Genomic DNA, 23,267 nt, shown 5'->3' on the forward strand with positions numbered 1-23,267 from the left:
CCATAAGAATTTTGTCAACCAGGAAAGTTGAACCCTTATCACAGGATAGATAGACAAGAAGTCAGCACCACACCCTGATAAACTTTGTCATAAACAATCATCTATTCTTAGGGCCCATTTATTTTTCCCCAAACCATTTACTGGCATTTAAGGTACTTAAATCCCTCCTCCTCTCCCCCACTATGAAAAGGGCATATAAGCTTCTAAATATCACTGAGTTTTGGGGTATTTACTTTTCTGTGATGACCTCCATGCACATAATAAATTTCTATACCCTTTCTCCTATTAATCTGCCTGTTTTCAGTTTATTTCATAGACTCAGTTATTGAACTTTCTGAGGGTAGATTGAAAGTCTTTTCTATCCAATAATCTCTTTGGTACTTTATAAACATTTTATGCTCAAAACAACATATTTGTGTCAGTTATAATTATTGTAATTTTAAAGATAAAGAAACCGTGGTTTAAAGAATCCAAGATGGTTGTCTAAGGTCATAAATTTAACAGGTGGTGTTGCTATAAGGATTTCAACTGTAAGTCTGCTTCCAAAAGCCTGTGCTCTTTACACTGTATTACATTTCCTCTTTTCACCAAAAAGGCAAATTAGTGGTATTCCTTGTTTGAAGTATAGGTGGGTATTCTCTGGATCTGATTTCTTTATCACTCATTTATGCAATATATCCTTGCCTAGTGCCACCTATATGCCTAGGTTTGGTGCTTGGTAATGGTGATAAAAAGATAAAAGAATTTATTTTAGCAACTCCTATGTGATGAAGAATACAATGGTGATGCCTCTCAAAAATACTTCCTCTTGTTATTATGATTTTACTTCTGGACTGTACTGCTGACAGTTTTATACCAGTGATTAGAGTGTTTGCCAATCCTATCATATTTTATTATTTTATACTACATATATAGTATGTATTATGTATATGTATATATATGTGTATGTGTATGTATATATACATATGTGGCATCATAGCGTAGCTGCTTCAATTATGTAGCCAAATTCTCTGTCACTTACTAGCTACATGACCTTGGGCAAATTGCCTAACCTCTCCATATCTCCATTTCCTCAAAAAAAAAAAAAATGGGGATAGTAAGTGTGATGGTTAATTTTAGGTGTCAGTTTGACTGGATTAAGGAATATCTAGAGAACAGGCAAAGCATTATTTCTGGGTATGTCCCTGAAAGTATTTCCAGAGGAGAATGTTCCAGTGAATCTGTGGACTGAGTGGGGGAAGATCTACCCTCAATGTGAGTGGTAACCATCAAATCGACTGAGGGCCCAGATAGAACAAAAACAGCAGGGGGAAAACTGGTGTTTTCTTTCTTTCTTTCCTTTTTCTTTTTTTCCCCCTCTCTCTCCTGGATCTGGAACACTCTTCATCTCTTACCTTTGGACATCAGAACTCCAGGCTCTCCCGCCTTTAGATTCCAGGATTTACACCAGCAGTTCCCTGGGCTTTCAGGGCTTCAGCCCAGTCCCAAGAGTTACACCATTGGCTCCCCTGGTTCTCAGGCTTTCGGACTTGGACTGAGCCATGCTACCCACATTCCAGAGTCTCCAGCTTATGGACAGCCAGTTGTGGGACTTCTCAGCCTCCATAATCACATGAGCAAATTCTATTAATAAATCCCCTCTCATCTGTCTATACATTCTTTTACCATTTGTTCTGTTTCTCTGGAGAACTCTGACTAATACAGTCAGGGTGCTTACCTTGAAGTACTGTAAAAAGGCTAGTGAGTAAAAACATTAACTATCTTTAACAGTGTATTAATCGGTTCTTGCATTGCTATAAAGAAATACCTGAGATTGGGAAATTTGTAGGGAAAATAGGTTTAATTGGCTCATGGTTCTGCAGGCTATACAGAAAGCAGATGGTGGCATCTGCTTCTGGGGGGGCCTCAGGGAGCTTTTACTCAAGGTGGAAGGCAGAGTCCCAGCAGGAGTCTTATATGGCAGGAGCAGGATTGAGAGAGGGGAGGTCACTTTTAAATGACCAGGTATCATGAGAACTTACTCACTATCACTAGAATGCCAAGGAGGAAATCCACCCCCATGATCCAGTCTCCTCCTACCAGGCCCACCTCTAACATTGGTTATTACAATTCGTCCTGAGACTTGGGTGGGGACACAGATCTAAACCATGTCAAACACTATCTAGCACATAGTCAACACTCAATAAATGTTAACTCTTTTTATGACATTTGCCCATGCTTATTTTAGACGAGTCCTAGATTTCAAGTTGGTAAATTTTATGGCCAATATAAAGAGTAGATGAAAATGCATCAGGATAAAATAGGTTTGTGATTTTTATTCATTATAATGTAAGAAATTCTCAATGGAGCTTGTGGTAAGGAAAAAAATAAATTATGTTATTTTCAGACCAGTAAATAATAAACAACCAGAATCTAGTTTGTTAGTAGTTATTCCACTAGGCGTTAGCATGCTTTACCAGTTAGTCAAATAGTACTATCCATATATATTTTATGTGCTCAGGTACACATACACATATAAGGGCAGATAGATTTTGGATGCTAACTCAGCAGTGTAGTAAGTGGTGATAATGATTATTCATGCAGTATTCTCAAGAGTTTTCTACATAAGATTAGAGAAATATTAGTAATTAAGCCATAAACCTGTGTTTGTAAACTTTATTAGAGTTGTATAATATGTACTTGGTGATTTTCATTTCTCCTGCATTATACTTTATCTTATCTGTCTAGTCAAAATCAGACTATTTCAGTAAGAGTAAATTAATGGTAGTGTTATACAGTTCCTAAAAATAGTGCAGTAGTTTTCCTTTTTATGCCCCTTCCATTGAAGAATTAATTTGTTATGAATGCGTTTCATTAATTTTATCACAAAAATAGAGATAATTGATTATATCTTTTAACTGCATTGCCAGTGAGTTATTTGAAAAAAATCAGTGTCCGTGGACCATTTTTTGACTATTTTAGCTCTAATACTTCCTATTCTTTATTATTAATAAAGCTTCCACACTGATCCCCCCCAACCATTTTCCTCTCATAGGGTCCCCGTTTTCTTGAGTGCCTTGCCTTTCCATCTCTGTAACTGCAAACATTTACTTAATTACTTTATCTTAAAGCATTTTTTTATTTTTCTATATTCCCAATATTAGCATTTCTATCTGCATTTCTCTTTTAGCACTTATCACTTTATATCATATAAATATTTGAGAAAGGGGCAAAGGCCAAACTCCATACTTATAACATATTATATGACATCAACTTTGACTTATTGACTCTTAACTCTGCGGCTCTTGGAAGTTCTTTGCACCCTATAAAGCAAATCTAATGCATAAATTGTTAATAAAAATGAGTCAGGGGCTTCTCTATGACTCTTGTGCCTTTGAGGGGGTTAGTAAAGGACAAGAAAATGTCAAATTTGTTTTTACATGACAAGTGCTGAGATAAGAAAACAAAAATAATTACCTGGTTTCAGGTAGTTACTATGAATCATATGCTCTCTTGCTAGTATTAAAGAAAATCTTGCTGGGCAAAATACAAATTTATCTAATAAAAATTAGTGATCCATTTCCAATGAGAAAGTCTTAAGAATAAATAAGCTGGTGGAAAGTAGGCCCCCACTTCTGGCATTATCATTTTGGTGAGCCTTTAGGAAGAAGGAATAGGCAAAATGGACCTGAGGCAGCAGTGGCAGGGAAGAGCCAGAAGAATGGCCCTGAACTATGGGGTGATAAAAGTGTCAACCCCCAACTTGACACCTTTGCTTCTGCTCTTAAAGACCTAGAAATTGGAGCCCAAGAGGAGTCAAATTCTGGGTGGAGGGGAGTCACCAAGAGCACACACATCATCACCTGAAATGAGTGTATAGCCAATCCTGTGGTCCCACTCAGGCCTAAGCCTGAAGATTAGAGGAAGAACAACTAGGATTACTACCTTCCCTTGTTTATTGTTCTTAGTTAAATGGAGTTTATTCTATGCTGAGAGCATGATATGCTATAAGGCCTTGTTAAGAGGTTAAGAGTAGATTAAATCTATGTGGATTAGTTATGGAGAAACAGAATAAGGTATTTACCCCTTTCTTTAAATTATTTAAATTATGGGATAGCTTAAACAAGAAGAAGGGACAGACAGTTACCAGGTAGGGAAAGTCTCTAGAAACTGGGTCAGAAAAGAAATAGCTGAATAAACTGGTTGTTTAATCTAGAACAGAGGATTTAACAGGTATCATGATAACTTTTCAAATAATTACAGACCCTTTATATGGGAAACTATGCTTTTTTGTTTCAACTAAAGAAGCAGTCCTAAGACTAATGAATATCCTACATTAAGAGGTAGATTTTAGGATAGTGGAAAAAAAAATCAGTCAATCACCAACTAACCAACAAACAAACATAAACTTTTACCACAAGAGAAAAAAATGCTTTCTTATGAATTAATGAGTTCTGGGTCATTAAAAGTGTTCAAGTAGAAACTGAATGACCACATTTAGGGAATAGTGCGGAAAAGAGTCTAACATCTGATAATGGTTGGGTTAAATGACCTGTAATATTTCTCTGAAATCTAACATTTTATGTTTCTTAGAATGTACCAAATTTGATGCCTTTAGATATAAGATTCAGGAAGCCATAATATTTCTAAGCAATTTCTCATGTCCCATTTAGTAAAAAATAAAGAAATGAACTAGTTCCTGAATGAGAAAGGAATAGACTTGGAGCTTTGTAAAATTTTCTGATCAAAAAAGGCCTTCAAAATCTTTTGTCCTATGGAATCTAAGAAAATAATGCACTAAATTCTGACAAATTTCTCATATATATATATATATATATATATATATATATATATATACATACACACATACACACACACTATATGTATGTGTGTGTCTGTGTGTGTGTGTGAAAGCTACTTTCATTTCTCATCTTGTGAGGAAGGTGTCATCTCTAAGATTTATCACTTTTTATGATCCCATTCACCTCAGAGAGCAGTTTCTCATGTGCAGTCAGCGCACCATTTAATTAGACTATCCTGGGGTGCTGCTTTAAAATTTAGATTTTTGGCCCTACTCAGGCATAATGAATTAGAATCTTTTGGATGGTACTTTTTGAATCTTAATATTTAACAAATACCATTGTGATTCTTATGCATATTAAAGTTCAAGAATATTTTCTGTAGGTCTTCAAGATTTGAGGTTTCAGTATATAAACATGTTTTATTTTCATGATATCAAGTATCCAAAAACCCACTTCTTCTTAATTTCAGGGGATAAAACTCTTGACAAAAATCAATAATTACTCTCTAAAAATATTTTTCTTGATGTAGTTTTTTTTCTTGCTTTCATTCGTCAACTTTAGAAAAAGAGAAAATCGTAATATATTTATTTTTACATATGAGCATGTAGTTCTAATAGGGGAATCACATCAGATAATTTTCAAAAGAAGGAAAAAAATTTATGTTTTGTTTATTCGTGTAAAAATAGTTGGTAGTGGGTTAGCTTATTATTTACAACAGCATGCTACTGAATTCAAAGATATGCCTGTATTCTATGTTGTCAGTAATAATGTTTCATTCCATGGTCTTAAAAATTCATGTTCTTATTTGAAGGGGTAACTGTGTTTACCAAGACTTTTTAAAAATTGCCAGTTACAGAAATGATACTCAACCCATCTAAAGAAAACGAAATAACCTCATAACTGGAAAGGATAGGATTGAACTTCAGGTATGTCTAGAGCTGGGGCTCAAATAATGTCATCAGAAGTTTGTCTTGCGCCGTCACTTAACTCTGAGATTTTTCTGGATTAACTTTGTTCTGTAAGTGCTCCCTATGTGGTCACAAAGATGCCTGTCACTGAAACCAGCCCAATTTCTCCATAGAACTGATATTTACAGGTTTTTTGAATAAACAAAGAAATTGACCCTTCTCGTCTTAAAACTTGAAACTTAAATTTGTCTTGCCTGAGATCTTCCTCAGGAAAGGGACTGAAAGTCACTAGATCACCTCATCCAGCCAGGTCCCTCCCTAATTTCTCTTTACCAACTCCTCTTCCTTACCCCTTCCTAATTTGTGTTTTCCATCATGTAGTTAAATTTCTTCCCTGCTATATAAACCTCTAGATCTGTTTGAGTTGACATCACTAAAATAAAAAGTCTTCTTCCCTGGCAATACTTATTGGCTCAATGATTGGCTTTCTGTATGGGGAGCAACAGGACCTAGACCAAACCCCTGGCATTTTTGTAACATCATCAGCATTAGGTTCATATTGTTCTTATACCTAACGGTCAAAGAGAAAAAGAAAAACTCCCAGGATGGACTCCTTGGCCCAGCCTGAGTTGTACACCTATTCCTGACTTACTTGCAGTGGCCAATAAAATGAAGTACTTGGAGTTCTCTAATTTTTTCATTCCTGGGTCACATATCCAACTTTGAAGCCAAGGTTTGTGTCACCTAATGGGAATCTAAGAGTATGTGTGAGCAGGGGCTTGGTTCTCCCAAAGAAGGAGATGTTGAGCAGAAGAAAGTAGATGATGTTCCCCAGTGGAACTACTTAAAAGTCCTTTCAATATATATTTATTGATTACAAAATATTGGAGCTATAGAGGGAAACCCCACACTGATCTCCTCTCATTATGCTCAACCCAGTGGATGGGATTAGTCTTTGACAATTGCTTTGTAAAGTGGTAAGGGCTATGGTGGAAATAGAAGTTCTGAGGGAGCCAAGAGGACTTTAGCTAAGTGGGACTCAGTAATTTGAAGAGAAAACACCAGAGGTGACAGGTGAACTGGATCTGGAGATATAGTGGGAGGGAGAACCCTGGAAGAGGATCATAATTTAAAAAGGAAAGTAAGTGAGAATATCATCTTCTTGTATGATAGCTGGTATTTATATTATAGTCAAAGTAGACATTTAAGCAAGCAGTTTGAGGAAAAGTCCTCAGTCAGGGTAAAATTTGAGTTGTTTGTCCATTTTGGCTGGGAGCCAATGTAACCTAACCTAGATAACTCAATTTCTACTAAAGCGAACTGTGATTCTACTTGTAAAGAAAGTCCTATATTGGGAATAAAGATTTTTTTCCAGATCATGTTGTTAAGATAAAATGCTAGAAAGCTCTTAAAAGCAATTGCAGTGAAGTTTAACACTTTTCCTTCATACTGAAGGAAAAAATGTGGCAGCAATTTAGGAAGGGCATGCTTAAAATTCAGTGAAATGCAGAAAAACACTGGAAGTTAAAAGTGAAACAATTCTCTGTAGATTTTGTTTGCTTTTAAAGATAAGGACAAGTATTCCATGAATGTGTCACTGGTGATGATTTAAATATGGAATATTCTGAATACAGTATTGATTCAAAATATAAAAACAAAAATATTCGTAATTATTTTGGAGTGGAATGGAGTAAAGTGGAGCCAGGAAAGAGACAGTGTAATAAGGTGGTACAATTGCAAAACTATATTTGGATATAATTAGCTTCAGAGAGACCAAGCAATCATAGAATGATAATGCAGGTGATGATATTAAGAACACTGCTTTAAACTCTATTCCCATATTGTTGTATTTAATCTTCAAAATGACCCTTTATGTAGGCTGCAGTATTTTAGCCATGAAATAACAAGACAAAGATAAACTGAGTAACATAGCCAAAGTCAGGGATCTGGTGTTAGAGCTGAGATCCTGACATATGCAGTGACACTGGAGTCCAACTTTGGATAATATTTGTTAGTATTTATTAAACATCTACGGTGAGTCCAGACTTATATTTGCATCTTCTGTTTTTCACAGATGCTTGATGAATACATATTATTTTATACCCCATTTTACAGATGAAGAATGACTGAGAAGCTGAGAAAATTGTCCAAGTAGAATTAATAAATCTAAAAATCTTGACTAAAAATAGATCTTCTGGACTTCACAGACTGTACTTGAATCACTACTCTATATGATCTCTTTCCTATGCTAGATACAATGATAATCATAAACAAGGGGTAATCTAGACTTTCATTGTCCTTGGTAAATTCACAGCAAATGCCCATTTAATTACAAGATACTACTCTACTGAGATTTTAATAGTAAAGAATTAATGAAGAATTTAAATATTCTAGTTACAAAAATAATTAATTTAGAACTATGTGTAGCAGTTTGAGATTTAAATTTATTTATGAAAAATTACATTAAAATGTTTCATATATTCTCAATACCGTTCTGAACTTTTTCTTATTCTTAAGATATTTCATTGAATTGTGATACTGATTTCAGATACAAAATTGTTAGAACTCTGGTTAAATACACTGGTAACATTTGTTAGCGGTTAAAAATTTAACATGGGCTTATGGTTCAATGTAGTAGATTGAGCATATGCTGATATCTACTGCTTTGTTCCAAAACTCATTTTAATAGGAATACAAACATAGAAATAAGAAATGGAGGAAGGGTGTCAATGGGGTATGAAAGCGTTTATAAAATCTTATGGGAAGTAATTAGTGGATGAAGGAATAGAAATACAGGAAACCACATCTTAGAAAATGTCCAAAGAGGAGCACATATCAGAAGAGCCTTACCTTGCCTTTCAAATACCAAGAGGTCATATGGGACTTGGAAATTCCAGGTTAGAATAGACACAGGTGTGTGTAACTTTTTGAAAACAAGGGAGTGGAGGATAATGGAAAGCCTGTAGCTGCATAATGTTCACTTCTCCCACATCTTCCTTTCGTTTGAACACAACTTGAAGCCAAAGAATGCCTCCAAACACCAACAACAAAAATATATATATATATGTAAATTAACTAAAAATGGGCACAGAAAGTAGAACAGTGGTTACCAGAGGCTGAGAGGAGGAATGGGAAGTTACTATTTAATAGGTACAGAGTTTCAGTATGGGATGATGAAAAAATCTGGAGATAGATAATGGTGATGGTTGCATAACAATGTGAATGTACTTAAGGCCACTGAAATTAGAAATGTTTTAAATGGTAAATTTTATGTTATTGGTATATTACTACAATAAAAAAAGTAAGGAGACTTCTTAAGTATACTAATTAAAAGGATGATATGGTAAAACAAGGATAGTTAATGTGGGAATTGCTATCCTAGTGGGAAGGCTTTAGCATTTCAGCCAGTCATAGTGGTTGACTTGCTACTACAGTCTCAACATAAGGTTAAGGCTTCCAGTTGATAAACTATTGCCCATGAATACGAAGGCCTCAGCTAGATTTTCTGCTGTCTCAACCCTAAATACAAACCAGGAATCAAGGATGGCCAGACAAATGAGGAATGTTTAAGAGAAAGGGCAAGATTAATGATTAACAATAATAGTCTGATAGGAAATAGTTAATCTAGTAAACAGAAAAGTACTTTAAAATTTTCTCTAATTAGTATCATTAGAGGGATGTTAGAGAGATCTTTCATTTATTAAATCATAAAAGTATGCTCTTAAAAAACACATAAAAATGTAACCAATGGGAAAAAAGTAAACAATCTCTTAGAATAAAAGGAGAAAAAAAAGCAAGAAAAGGAAAATGAGAATAAAGACAAGGATTAATTCAAAGTTTGCCACATAAATAATGGAAGTTCTTGAAAGAGAAAACAGAGCAAGCAATTATCAAATAAATAATGAAAGAGGTAACCCTGAGCTGAAGTATGAGTGTTTATGTTGAAAAGGCCCACTGTGTACTCAGCAAAGTGAAGAAAATGCATTTTCTGAAACATGTTATGAAAATTCAGAATACAAATGATAAAGAGAAGATGCTAAAGTTTTTAGAAAGAAAACAACAAAGGTAAAAAGCAGATCACCTTATAACTCAATAATGAAAAGACAAAAAGCCCAACTTAAAAATGAAGAAAGGATCTGAATAGACATTTCTCCCCAGAAGAGAGACTAATAGCCAATAAACATATGAAAAGATGTTCAATGCCAATAGCCATCAGGGAAATGCAAATTAAAACCTCAATGAGATATCACTTCACACTCTCTAAGATGGCTATGATGAAAGAGATAGTAAGTGGTGGAGAGGATTTGATATATTGAGACCTTGTTACATTGCTGCTTGGAATATAGAATGGCCAAACAATTCCACTCCTAGGTATATAACCCAAGAGAAATCAAAACAAATGTCCATACAAAAACTTGTGCATAAATGTTTATGGAAGTATTATTCATAAAAGCCTTAAAGTAGAAACAACTCAAATGTCCATCAACTGATGGATGGGTAAGCAAAACGTAGTATGTACATACAATGAAATAATATTAGGACATAAAAAGGAATGAACTCTCGATACATGCTACAACATGGATGAACCTTAAGATCCTTATGCTAAGTCAAAGAACCCTACATATTTGAGATTCCATTTTTAAGCTATGATCACAATGAAAATCTATAAAGATAGAATGCAGATTAGTGATTGCTGAGGGATATGGGGTTTGAGGGAAAATAGGAAGTGACTGCTTACTGGGGGCGGGATTCTTTTATTTTCTTCTTTAGATTTCAACTTTTATTTTAGATACAGGAGGTATATGTGCAGGGGTGTTACATGGGAATATTGGGTGATGTTGAGGTTGGGAGTATGGACCCCATCACCCAGGTAGTGAGCATAGTGCCCAATAGGTAGCTTTTTTCAACCCCCCACCCCCAGTAGTCTGCAATGTCTATTCCCAATAACCATGTGTGTTCAATGTTTAGCACCCACTTTTAAGTGAGAACATATGGTATTTGGTTTTTTATTCCTGTGTTAATTCACTTAGGATTATGGCCTCCAGCTCCATTCATGTTGCTGCAAAGGACATGATTTTATTATATTTATGGCTACATAGTATTTCATGATGTATATATACTGCATTTTCTTTATCCAATACACCATTGATGGGCACTTGGGTTGATTCCATGTCTCTGCCATTGGAAATAGCACAGCAATCAACATAGGAGTGCATGTGTCTTCTTAGTGGAATAACTTGTTTTCCTATGGGTATATACCCAGTAATGGGGTTGCTGGGTGAAATGGTAACTCTGTTTGAAGTTCTTTGAAAAATCTCCACACTGCTTTCCACAGAGACTGTAGTAATTTACATTCCCATAAACAATATATAAACATTCTGTTTTCTCTGCAGCCTCACAAGCATCTGTTAGTCATTGATTTTAATAGTAGCCATTGTGATTGGTATGAGATGATATCACATTGTGGTTTTGATTTGCATTACTCTGATGATTAGTGATGCTGAGCACTTTCTCATGTTTGTTGGCTGCTTGTGTGTTTTCCTTTGACAAGTGTCTGTTCATGTCCTTTGCCCATTTTTTAATGGTGCTATTTGTATTTTGCTTGTTGATTTAAGTTCCCTATAGATTATATATACTAGGCCTTTGTTGGATGCATAGCTTGTGAATATCTTCTCCCATTCTATAAGGTGTCTTTTGCTATGTTGAGTTTCTTTTACCGCACAGAAGCTCTTTAGTTTAATTAGGTCTCACTTGTTTATTTTTGTTTTTGTTGTGATTGTTTTTACGGACTTAGCCAAACATTTTTTACCATGGCTGATGCTGAGAAGAGTATTACCTAGGTTGTCTTCCAGGAGTTTGAGATTTTTTTAGGGTACATATGCACAATGTTCAGGTTTGCTACATATGTATACATGTGCCATGTTTGTGTGCTGCACCCATTAACTCATCATTTAGCATTAGGTATATCTCCTAAGGCTATCCTTCCCCCCTCCCCCCACCCCACAACAGTCCCCGGAGTGTGATGTTACCCTTCCTGTGTCCATGTGTTCTCATTGTTCAATTCCCACCTATGAGTGAGAACATGTGGTGTTTGGTTTTTTGTCCTTGAGATAGTTTGCTGAGAATGATGGTTTCCAGTTTCATCCATGTCCCTACAAAGGACATGAACTCTTCATTTTTTATGGCTGCATAGTATTCCATGGTGTATATGTGCTACATTTTCTTAATCCAGTCTATCATTGTTGGACATTTGGCTTGGTTCCAAGTCTTTGCTATTGTGAATAGTGCTGCAATAAACATACGTGTGCATGTGTCTTTAGAGCAGCATGATTTATAATCCTTTGGGTATATACCCAGTAATGGGATGGCTGGGTCAAATGGTATTTCTAGTTCTAGATCCCTGAGGAATCGCCACACTGACTTCCACAATGGTTGAACTAGTTTACAGTCCCACCAACAGTGTAAAAGTGGAGAGGTTTCTCCACAACCTCTCCAGCACCTGTTGTTTCCTAACTTTTTAATGATCAACATTCTAACTGGTGTGAGATGGTATCTCATTGTGGTTTTGATTTGCATTTCTCTGATGGCCAGTGATGATGAGCATTTTTTCATGTGTTTTTTGGCTGCATAAATGTCTTCTTTTGAGAAGTGTCTGTTCATATCCTTCGCCCACTTTTTGATGGGGTTGTTTGTTTTTTTCTTGTAAATTTGTTTGAGTTCATTGTAGATTCTGGATATTAGCCCTTCGTCAGATGAGTAGGTTGCGAAAATTTTCTCCCATTTTGTAGGTTGCCTATTCACTCTGATGGTAGTTTCTTTTGCTGTGCAGAAGCTCTTTAGTTTAATTAGATCCCATTTGTCAATTTTGGCTTTTGTTGCCATTGCTTTTGGTGTTTTAGACATGAAGTCCTTGCCCATGCCTATGTCCTGAGTGGTATTGCCTAGGTTTTCTTTAGGGTATTTATGGTTTTAGGTCTAACATGTAAGTCTTTAATCCATCTTGAATTAATTTTTGTATAAGGTGTAAGGAAGGGATCCAGGTTCAGCTTTCTACATATGGCTAGCCAGTTTTCCCAGCACCATTTATGAAATAGGGAATCCTTTCCCCATTGCTTGTTTTTGTCAGGTTTGTCAAAGATCAGATGGTTGTAGATATGCGGCATTATTTCTGAGGGCTCTGTTCTGTGCCATTGATCTATATCTCTGTTTTGGTACCAGTACCATGCTGTTTTGGTTACTGTAGCGTAGTTAGTTTGAAGTCAGGTAGCGTGATGCCTCCGGCTTTGTTCTTTTGGCTTAGGATTCACTTGGCGATGTGGGCTCTTTATTGGTTCCATATGAACTTTAAAGTAGTTTTTTCCAGTTCTGTGAAGAAAGTCATTGGTAGCTTGATGGGGATGGCATTGAATCTATAAATGATCTTGGGCAGTATGGCCATTTTCATGATATTGATTCTTCCTACCCATGAACATGGAATGTTCTTCCATTTCTTTGTATCCTCTTTTATTTCATTGAGCAGTGGTTTGTAGTTCTCCTTGAAGAGGTCCTTCACATCCCTTGAAAATTGGATTCCTAGGTATTTTATTCTCTTTGAAGCAATTGTGAATGGGAGTTCACTGATGATTTGGCTCTCTGTTTGTCTGTTATTGGTGTATAAGAATGCTTGTGATTTTTGTACATTGATTTTGTATCCTGAGACTTTACTGAAGACGCTTATCAGCTTAAGGAGATTTTGGGCTCAGATGATGGGGTTTTCTAGATATACAATCATGTCATCTGCAAACAGGGACAATTTGACTTCCTCTTTTCCTAATTGAATACCCTTTATTTCCTTCTCCTGCGTAATTGCCCTGGCCAGAACTTCCAACACTATGTTGAATAGGAGTGGTGAGAGAGGACATCCCTGTCTTGTGCCAGTTTTCAAAGGGAATGCTTCCAGTTTTTGTCCATTCAGTATGATATTGGCTGTGGGTTTTTCATAGGTAGCTCTTATTATTTTGAGATATGTCCCATCAATACCTAATTTATTCGGAGTTTTTAGCATGAAGGGTTGTTGAATTTTGTCAAAGGCCTTTTCTGCGTCTATTGAGATAATCATGTGATTTTTGTCTTTGGCTCTGTTTATATGCTGGATTACATTTATTGATTTGTGTATATTGAACCAGCCTTGCATCCCAGGGATGAAGCCCACTTGATCACGGTGGATAAGCTTTTTGATGTGCTGCTGGATTCGGTTTGCCAGTATTTTATTGAGGATTTTTGCATCAATGTTCATCAAAGATATTGGTCTAAAATTCTCTTTTTTTGTTGTGTCTCTGCCAAGCTTTGGTATCAGGATGATGCTGGCCTCATAAAATGAGAGAGGGAGGATTCCCTCTTTTTCTATTGACTGGAATAGTTTCAGAAGGAATGGTACCAGCTCCTCCTTGTACCTCTGGTAGAATTCGGCTGTGAATCCATCTGGTCCTGGACTTTTTTTAGTTGGTAAGCTATTGATTATTGCCACAATTTCAGAGCCTGTTATTGGTCTATTCAGAGATTCAAATTCTTCCTGGTTTAGTCTTGGGAGGGTGTATGTGTCGAGGAATTTATCCATTTCTTCTAGATTTTCTAGTTTATTTGTGTAGGGTGTTTATAGTATTCTCTGATGGTAGTTTGTATTTCTGTGGGATCGGTGGTGATATCCCCTTTATCGTTTTTTATTGAGTCTATTTGATTCTTCTCTCGTTTCTTCTTTATTTGTCTTGCTAGTGGTCTATCAATTTTGTTGATCTTTTCAAAAAACCAGCTCCTGGATTCATTAATTTTTCGAAGGGTTTTTTGTGTCTCTATTTCCTTCAGTTCTGCTCTGATCTTAGTTATTTCTTGCCTTCTGCTAGCTTTTGAATGTGTTTGCTCTTGCTTTTCTAGTTCTTTTAATTGTGAAGTTAGGGTGTCAATTTTGGATCTTTCCTGCTTTCTGTTGTGGGCATTTAGTCCTATAAATTTCCCTCTACTCATTGCTTGTAATGTGTCCCAGAGATTCTGGTATGTTGTGTCTTTGTTCTCATTGGTTTCAAAGAACATCTTTATTTCTGCCTTCATTTCGTTATGTACGCAGTAGTCATTCAGGAGCAGGTTGCTCAGTTTCCATGTAGTTGAGTGGTTTTGAGTGAGTTTCTTAATCCTGAGTTCTAGTTTGATTGCACTGTGGTCTGAGAGACACTTTGTTATAATTTCTGTTCTTTTACATTTGCTGAGGAGTGCTTTACTTCCAACTATGTGGTAAATTTTGGAATAGGTGTGGTGTGGTGCTGAAAAAAATGTATATTCTGTTGTTTTGGGGTGGAGAGTTCTGTAGATGTCTATTAGGTCCGCTTGGTGCAAAGCTGAGTTCAATTCCTGGGTATCCTTGTTAACTTTCTGTCTCGTTGATCTGTCTAATGTTGACAGTGGGGTGTTAAAAATCTCCTATTATTATTGTGTGGGAGTCTAAGTGTCTTTGTAGGTCACTAAGGACTTGCTTTATGAATCTGGGTGCTCCTGTATTGGGTGCATATATATTTAGGATAGTTAGCTCTTTTTGTTGAATTGATCCCTTTACCATTACATAATGGCCTTCTTTGTCTCTTTTGATCTTTGTTGGTTTAAAGTCTGTTTTATCAGAGACTAAGATTGCAACCCCTGCCTTTTTTTTGTTTTCCATTTGCTTGGGAGATCTTCCTCCATCCCTTTATTTTGAGCCTATGTGTGTCTCTGCACGTGAGATGGGTTTCCTGAATACAGCACACTGAGGGGTCTTGACTCTTTATCCAATTTGCCAGTCTGTGTCTTTTAATTGGAGCATTTAGCCCATTTACATTTAAGGTTAATATTGTTATGTGTGTATTTGGTCCTGTCATTATGATGTTAGCTGGTTATTTTGCTTGTTAGTTGATGCAGTTTCTTCCTAACCTTGATGGTCTTTACACTTTGGCATGTTTTTGCAGTGGCTGGTACTGGTTGTTCCTTTCCATGTTTAGTGCTTCCTTCAGGAGCTCTTTTAGGACAGGCCTGGTGGTGACAAAATCTGTCAGCATTTGCTTGTCTGTAAAGTATTTTATTTCTCCTTCACTTATGAAGCTTAGTTTGGCTGGATATGAAATTCTGGTGTGAAAATTCTTTTCTTTAAGAATGTTGAGTATTGGCCCCCACTCTCTACTGGCTTGCAGAGTTTCTGCTGAGAGATCTGCTGTTAGTCTGATGGGCTTCCCTTTGTGGGTAACCCGACCTTTCTCTCTGGTTGCCCTTAACATTTTTTCCTTCATTTGAACTTTGGTGTATCTGACAATTATGTGTCTTGGAGTTGCTCTTCTCGAGGAGTGTCTTTCTGGCATTCTCTCTATTTCCTGAATCTGAATGTTGGCCTGCCTCACTAGATTGGGGAAGTTCTCCTGGATAATATCCTGCAGAGTGTTTTCCAACTTGGTTCCATTCTCCTCATCATTTTCAGATACACCAATGAGACGTAGATTTGGTCTCTTCACATAGTCCCATATTTCTTGGAGGCTTTGTTTGTTTCTTTGTATTCTTTTTTCTCTAAACTTCCCTTCGTGCTTCATTTCATTCATTTGCTCTTCCATCACTGATACACTTTCTTCCAGTTGATCGCATCAGCTCCTGAGTCTTCTGCATTCTTCACGTAGTTCTCGAGCCTTGGCTTTCAGCTCCATCAGCTCCTTTAAGGACTTCTCTGCGTTGGTTATTCTAGTTATCCATTTGTCCAATTTTTTTTTCAAAGTTTTTAACTTCTTTTCCATTGGTTTGAATTTCCTCCTGTAGCTTGGAGTAGTTTGATTTTCTGAAGCCTTCTTCTCTCAGCTCGTCAAAGTCATTTTCCATCCAGCTTTGTTCCATTGCTGGTGAGGAGCTGCATTCCTTTGGAGGAGGAGAGGCACTCTGGTTTTTAGAGTTTCCAGTTTTTCTGCTCTGTTTTTTCCCCATCTTTGTGGTTTTATCTACTTTTGGTTTTAGATGATGGTGACGTACAGAAGGGTTTTTGGTGTGGATGTCCTTTCTTTTTGTTAGTTTTCCTTCTAACAGACAGGACCCTCAGCTGCAGGTCTGTTGGAGTTTGCTGGAAGTCCACTCCAGACCCTGTTTGCCTGGGTATCAGCAGCGGTGGCTGTAGAACAGTGGATCTTGGTGAACCACAAATGCTGCTGCCTGATTGTTCCTCTGGAAGTTTTGTCTCAGAGGAGTACCCGTGTGAGGTGTCAGTCTGCCCCTACTGGGGGGTGCCTCCCAGTTAGGCTGCTTGGGGGTCAAGGACCCACTTGAGGAGGCAGTCTGTCCATTCTCAGATCTCCAGCTGCGTGCTGGGAGAACCACTACTCTCTTCAAAGCTGTCAGACAGGCACATTTAAGTCTGTAGAGGTTACTGCTGTCTTTTTGTTTGTCTGTGCCCTGCCCCCAGAGGTGGAACCTACAGAGGCAGGCAGGCCTCCTTGAGCTGTGGTGGGCTCCACCCAGTTGGAGCTTCCCAGCTGCTTTGTTTACCTAATCAAGCCTGGGCAATGGCAGCCACCTGTCTCCCAGCCTCGCTGCCACCTTGCAGTTTGATCTCAGACTGCTGTGCTAGCAATCAGCGAGACTCCGTGGGTGTAGGACCCTCCGAGCCAGGTGCCCAGGTGCAGGATGTAATCTTCTGGTGTGCCACTTTTTAAGCCTGTTGGAAAAGCGCAGTATTAGGGTGGGAGTGACCTGATTTTCCAGGTGCCATCTGTCACCCCTTTCTTTGACTAGGAAAGGGAACTCCCTGACCCCTTGTGCTTCCCGAGTGAGGCAATGCCTCGCCCTGCTTTGGCTCGTACACAGTGCGCTGTACCCACTGTCTTGCACCCACTGTCTGGCACTCCCTAGTGAGATGAACCTGGTACCTCGGATTGAAATGCAGAAATCACCCATCTTCTGCGTCGCTCAGGCTGGGAGATGTAAACTGGAGCTGTTCCTATTCGGCCATCGTGGCTCCACGAGTTTGAGATTTTATATTCAAGTCTTTGATCCATTTTCAGTTAATTTCAGTTAATCCATTCGGAATAGGTGAAAGTAGGCGTCTAGTTTCAGTCTTCTGTGTATGGCTAGCCAGTTGTCCCAGCATTATTTACTGAATAGAGAGTCGTTTCCCAGTTGCTTTTGTCAGCCTTGTTGCAGATGGTTGCAGTTGTACAACTTTATTTCTGAGTTTTTAATTCTGTTCCATTGCTCTGTGTCTGTTTTTGTATCAGTACCAAGATGTTTTGATTACTGTGGCTTTATAGTGTAGTTTGAAGTTGGATAGTGTGAGGCCTCTGCCTTTTTTTTTTTTCTTTTTTTTTTTTTTTTGCTTAGATTATTTTGGCTATTCAGGCTTTTTTGTTTCCAGATGAAATTGGGAATAATTTTTTTCTAATTCTGTGATAAATGCCATTGGTGGTTTGATAGGAATAGCATTGAATCTGTAAATTGCTTTGGGCAGTGTTCCCATTTTAGCAACAATGATTCTTCCAATCCATGCGCGTGGAATGTTTTTCCATTTGTTTGTGTCATCTCTAGTTTCTTTCAGCAGTGTTTTATGGCTCTCCTTGGAGAGATTTTTGACCTCCTTGGTTAGCTGTATTCCTAGATATTTAATATTCTTTGTGGCTATTTTGAGTTGAATTATGTTCTTGATTTCACTTTCAGCCTGAATGTTGTTGGTGTGTATAGAAATGCTAATGATTTTTGTACATTGATTTTGTATCTTGGAACTTTACTAAAATAATTTATCAGTTCTAGGAGCCTTTTGGCAGAGTATTTACGATTTTCTAGGTATACAGTTATATCATCTGCAGAAAGAAATAGTTTGACTTCTTTTTCTATTTAGATGCCTTTTATTTCTTTGTCTTGCCTGACTGCTCTGGCTGGGACTTCGAGTACTACCTTGAATAGAAGTGGTGGGAGTGGGTATCTTTGTCTTGTTCCAGTTCTCTAGGGGAATGGTTCAAGCTTTTGCCCATTTGGTATGATGTTGGTTGTGAATTTGTCATAGTTGACTCTCACTATTTTAAGGTAGGCTCCTTCAATGCCTAGTCTGCAGAGCGTTTTTATTATAAAGGGATGTTGTGTTTTATTGAAAGACTATTCTGCATATATTAGATGATTATATGGTTTTTGCTTTTGATTCTGTTTATGAGGTTGATTGGATTTATTGTTTTTTGTATGTTGAACAAGCCTTGAATCCCAGGAATAAAGCCTGCTTAATTGTGATAATACATCACACAAGTATTAACTTGCTGATGTGCTGGGTTCAGTTTCCTAATATTCTGTTGAGGATTTTTGCATCTATGTTTATCAGGGATATTGGCCTGAAGTTTTGTTTTTTTGTTGTGTCTATGCCAGATTTTGGTATCAAGGTGATGCTGGCTTCATAGAATGAGTTAGGGAGGAGCCCGTGCTCCTCAACTTTTTTGGAATAATTTCAATAGGATTGGTATCAGTTCTTCTTTGTATGTCAGGTAGAATTCCACTGCAAATGTTTCTGGTCCAGGACATTTTTTAGTTGGTTGGTTATTACTAATTCTATTTCAGAAGTTGATATTTGTCTATTCAGGGTTTCAATCTCTTCTTGATTCAATCTTGGAAGACTGTATGCTTCCAGGAATTTATCCATTTCCTCTAGATTTTCTAATTTATGTGCATAGAGTTGTACATAGTATCCTCTGAGGGTCTTTCATATTTCTGTGGGATCAGTGGTAACATTGCCTTTGTTGTTTCTGATTTTGCTTCTTGGAGTCTTCTCTTTCTTCTTCTTTATTAATTTAGCTAGTAGTCCATCAATTTTATTTGTTTTTATTCTGGTTTAATTAATCTTTTGTATAAATTTTGCATCTCAATTTCATTAAGTTATTTAATTGTAGTTTTTTTAACATTTTCTTCTGCTACTTTTGGGGGTTGGTTTGCTCTTTCACTTCTAGTTCTTTTAAGTACAAATTTAGATTGCTAATTTATGGTCTTTCTGACTTCTCGTTCTTTTAAGTACCAATTTAGATTGCTAATTTATGGTCTTTCTGACTTCTTGATGAAGGAATTTAGTGCTATAAACTTTCCTCTTAACACTGCTTTGGACTGCATGCAGAGCTTTTTGTAAATTGTTTCCTTATTTTCATTAATTTCAAAGAATTTTTTGATTTCTATCTTAATTTCAATTTTCACCCAGGAATTATTCAGTATTGAGTTGTTTGATTTTTATGTGTTTGCATAGTTTTGAAAGATCTTCTTGGCATTGATTTCTATTTGTATTGCGTTGTGGTCGAAGAGTGTGCTTGGTATGATTTCAATTTATTGAGGCTTGCTTTATGACTTAACATGTGGTCGATTTTAGAATATGTTCTGTGTGCAGATGAGAAGAATTTACATTCTGTGGTTGTTGGGTGGAGTTTTCTCTATATGTCTATTAGGTCCAAATGTTAAGTTTAAGTTCAGAGTTTTTTTGTTTTCTGCCTTGATGATCTGTCTATCACTGTCAGTGGGGTGTTGAACTCACCCATTATTATTGTGTGGTTGTCTAAGTCTTTTGTAGTTCAAGAATAATTTGTTTTATGAATGTTAGTCCTCCAATATTGGCTGTGTATATATTTAAGATAGTTAAGGCTTCTTGTTGGATTGTACCCATTATCATTATGTAATGCCCTTCATTTGTCCTTGTTTGTTTTCATTGATTTAAAGTTTGTTTTATCTGAGATAAGAATAGAGACTCCTGCTCTTTTTGGTTTTCCATTTGTATGGTATATCTTACTCCACCCTTTTACTTTGAGCTTGTTGGTGTTACATGTAAGATGGATCTCTTGAAGACAACATATGGTTGGGTCTTTTCTTTTTATCCAGACTGCCACCCTCTTTCTTTTAAGTGGGGGCATTTAGCACACTTACATTTAAGGTTAGTATTGATATGTGTGATTTTGATCCTGTCATTGTGTTGTTACCTGGTTGTGTATGCAGGCTTGATTGTGTAGTTGCTTTATAGTGCCTGTGACCTATGTGCTTAAGTGTGTTTTTTTGGTAGCAGGTGTCATTCTTTGAACCTATGTTTAGCATTACCTTAAGGACCTCTTCTAAAGCTGGTCTAGTTAAAATGTATTCCTGCAGCATTTGCTCGTCTGAGAAGGATTTCATTTCTCCTTCACTTAAAAAGCTTAGTTTGGCAGGATATGAAATTCTTGGTTGGAATTTCTTCTCTTTAAGAATGCTAAAAGTAGGCCCCCAATCTCTTCTGACTTGTAAGGCTTCTACCAAGCCATCTGGTGCCAGTCTGATGGGGTTCCCTGTGAAACTTACCTGCCTCTTCTTTCCAGCTGCCTTTAAGGTTTTTTTCTTTTGCACTGACCTTGATGAATCTGAAGATTATATGCCTTGGGGATGGTTGTTTTATATAGTATCTTGCTAGGGTTCTCTGTTTTTCTTGGATTGGCATGTCAACCTCTCTAGTGAGATTAGGGAGATTTTCAGGGACTATATTCTCAAATTGCTTATTTTCTATTCCAATTCCAAGTTGCTTATTGTCTTTCTTTTTCTCTCAGAAATGCCAGTGAGTTGTAGATTTGGCCTCTTTACATAATCCCATATTTTTGGAGCTTTTGTTCATTTTTCTTAATTCCTTTTTCTTTATTTTTGTCTGACTGAATTGGTTTGAAGGAGCAGTCTTCCAGCTCTGGGATTCTTTCCTCAGCTTGGTCTGTTCTGCTGTTAATACTTCCAATTGTATTATAAAATTCTTGCAGTGATTTTTTTCAGCTCAAGAATTTCATTTTGGGTCTCTCTTAAAATGGCTCTTTTGTCTTTCAGGTCTTCAATCATTTTACTGAATTGCTTTGCTTCCTTGGATTAAGCTTCAGCTTTCTCCTGGATCTCAATGGTCTTCCTTGCCACCCAGGTTAGGAACTCCAAGTCTGTCATTTCAGACAATTCAGACTGGTTAAGCACCATTGCTGGGGAGCTATTGGGTTTCTTTGGAGGTAAGGGGACACTCTGGTTTTCTGAATTGTCAGTTTTTGTGCTAATTCTTTCCCATCTGTTATTCTTTTAACTGTGGTGTAAAGTGAGTATAGTCAATTGACTTTCTTTCTGGAAGTCTTCAGAGGGCTAAGACTCTATAGTAGGTCTTTGTTTATTGTTGAATTCTTGTCCTTGGCTTTGCAGTGGGGAGAATTAGTAAAATGTTTCTTATTGTAGTTTGGGCTGCAATCCAGTACATGGGACTTGAGAGCAATGGGTCTTGGATAGGCTCTTACACAGCTACATGGCTTCTATGTATGACTTTGCATTTGCAGGTGTGTTCTGTGGTGTGAGGAGGATAGTGCTGAATCCCTCACTGGGTCTGTTCTCCTGGACCTTAGAGGAGCCACCTCCAGTCATTGACACTGAGCGTGTGGCTTTGGTAGTTGTTGTTAGATCTTTTGGGCTGTGGGGCTTCCCTGAGGAGAGATCTAGCAGGGAGATAGACCACACCCTTACCAGACCAACCCTGTGGAGGGAGGCAAACCTAGGTCCCACACTAGCCTGAGAACCTGTGTGACTCACCTCTCTCAGTTTCTTGAGAATGCTGGCTCATCTCTCATTCAGGTGCTGAGCACAGATCATGGCTCAGCACTCCTAAGCCACAAACTGTGGCCCTGGTGTGTCAGAACCTGGTCATGGCTCCCTCCTCTGGACCCTCCTCTAGGTACACTGGAGGATCCAAAGGGCTCCCAGGCTGCTGGAACACACTCAGGTGTAAGAAAGCTTCCAGACTAGGCAGCAGAGGATTCACTGTGTACACACTCCTATGGGGTGGCCAAGTTGGGCCTCTAGGATGGGCTGGCATGCAGGGGGCTTTTAGGTAGATGTTCCCTAGTCCTGTGTGGAAGCAGATCCTGTTTTCTCCCTGGCAGTTATCTGGAGCCAAAGCCTCTCAGAGGGAGACAGGTAGCCCTGCAGGGTGGGCACTTATGGCCAGGTTCCACTGAAGCTGACCAGCACTCAGATGTCCCTGGTTCCATGCTTTTGCTGCATCTCCATTTCTGTCTAATCTCTGGGGAGATCCCCCTGCCAGTTCCCATGTCCTAGGGGATGTGGGATCTCCTGCAGCTAGGATCCCAGAGGTCTGTGGCAAGAGTGAGCAGTCCTCCAGTCCCTTCATTCACCCTTCCCCAGGCACCATCTGGGTTTCTTTTTTGGAGACAAAAAAAATCCTTGTAGGAGTGGTTGCACAGGTCTGTGAATATACTAAAAATTATTGAATTGTATACTTTAAGTGGGTGAATTGTGTGGTGTACGAATTATATGCCAATAAGACTGATATTAGAAAAAAGTCACACTGTTATCAGTCTTATAAATAGCATTAATTCTAGAAGTCCATATATAATGTGTCAATAAATAAAGACCACCCAGATGAGAAAGCAAAGGCAGTCTATTCAGGGCTTTCTATAGCAATGGAGTTAGCCACCATTACTTGGTTTTGGCAGAAATTGAAAAGAGAGGCAGAGATGTGGGAAAGTGTTATAGTGGAAAAAAGGGAAGGCTTCATGTATGCTGATTGGAAGGTGTTGGTATAAGGAAGCTGTAG

Source organism: Homo sapiens, chromosome 6 (genome assembly GCF_000001405.40).
Source record: "Homo sapiens chromosome 6, GRCh38.p14 Primary Assembly".
NCBI lineage: Eukaryota > Metazoa > Chordata > Mammalia > Primates > Hominidae > Homo > Homo sapiens.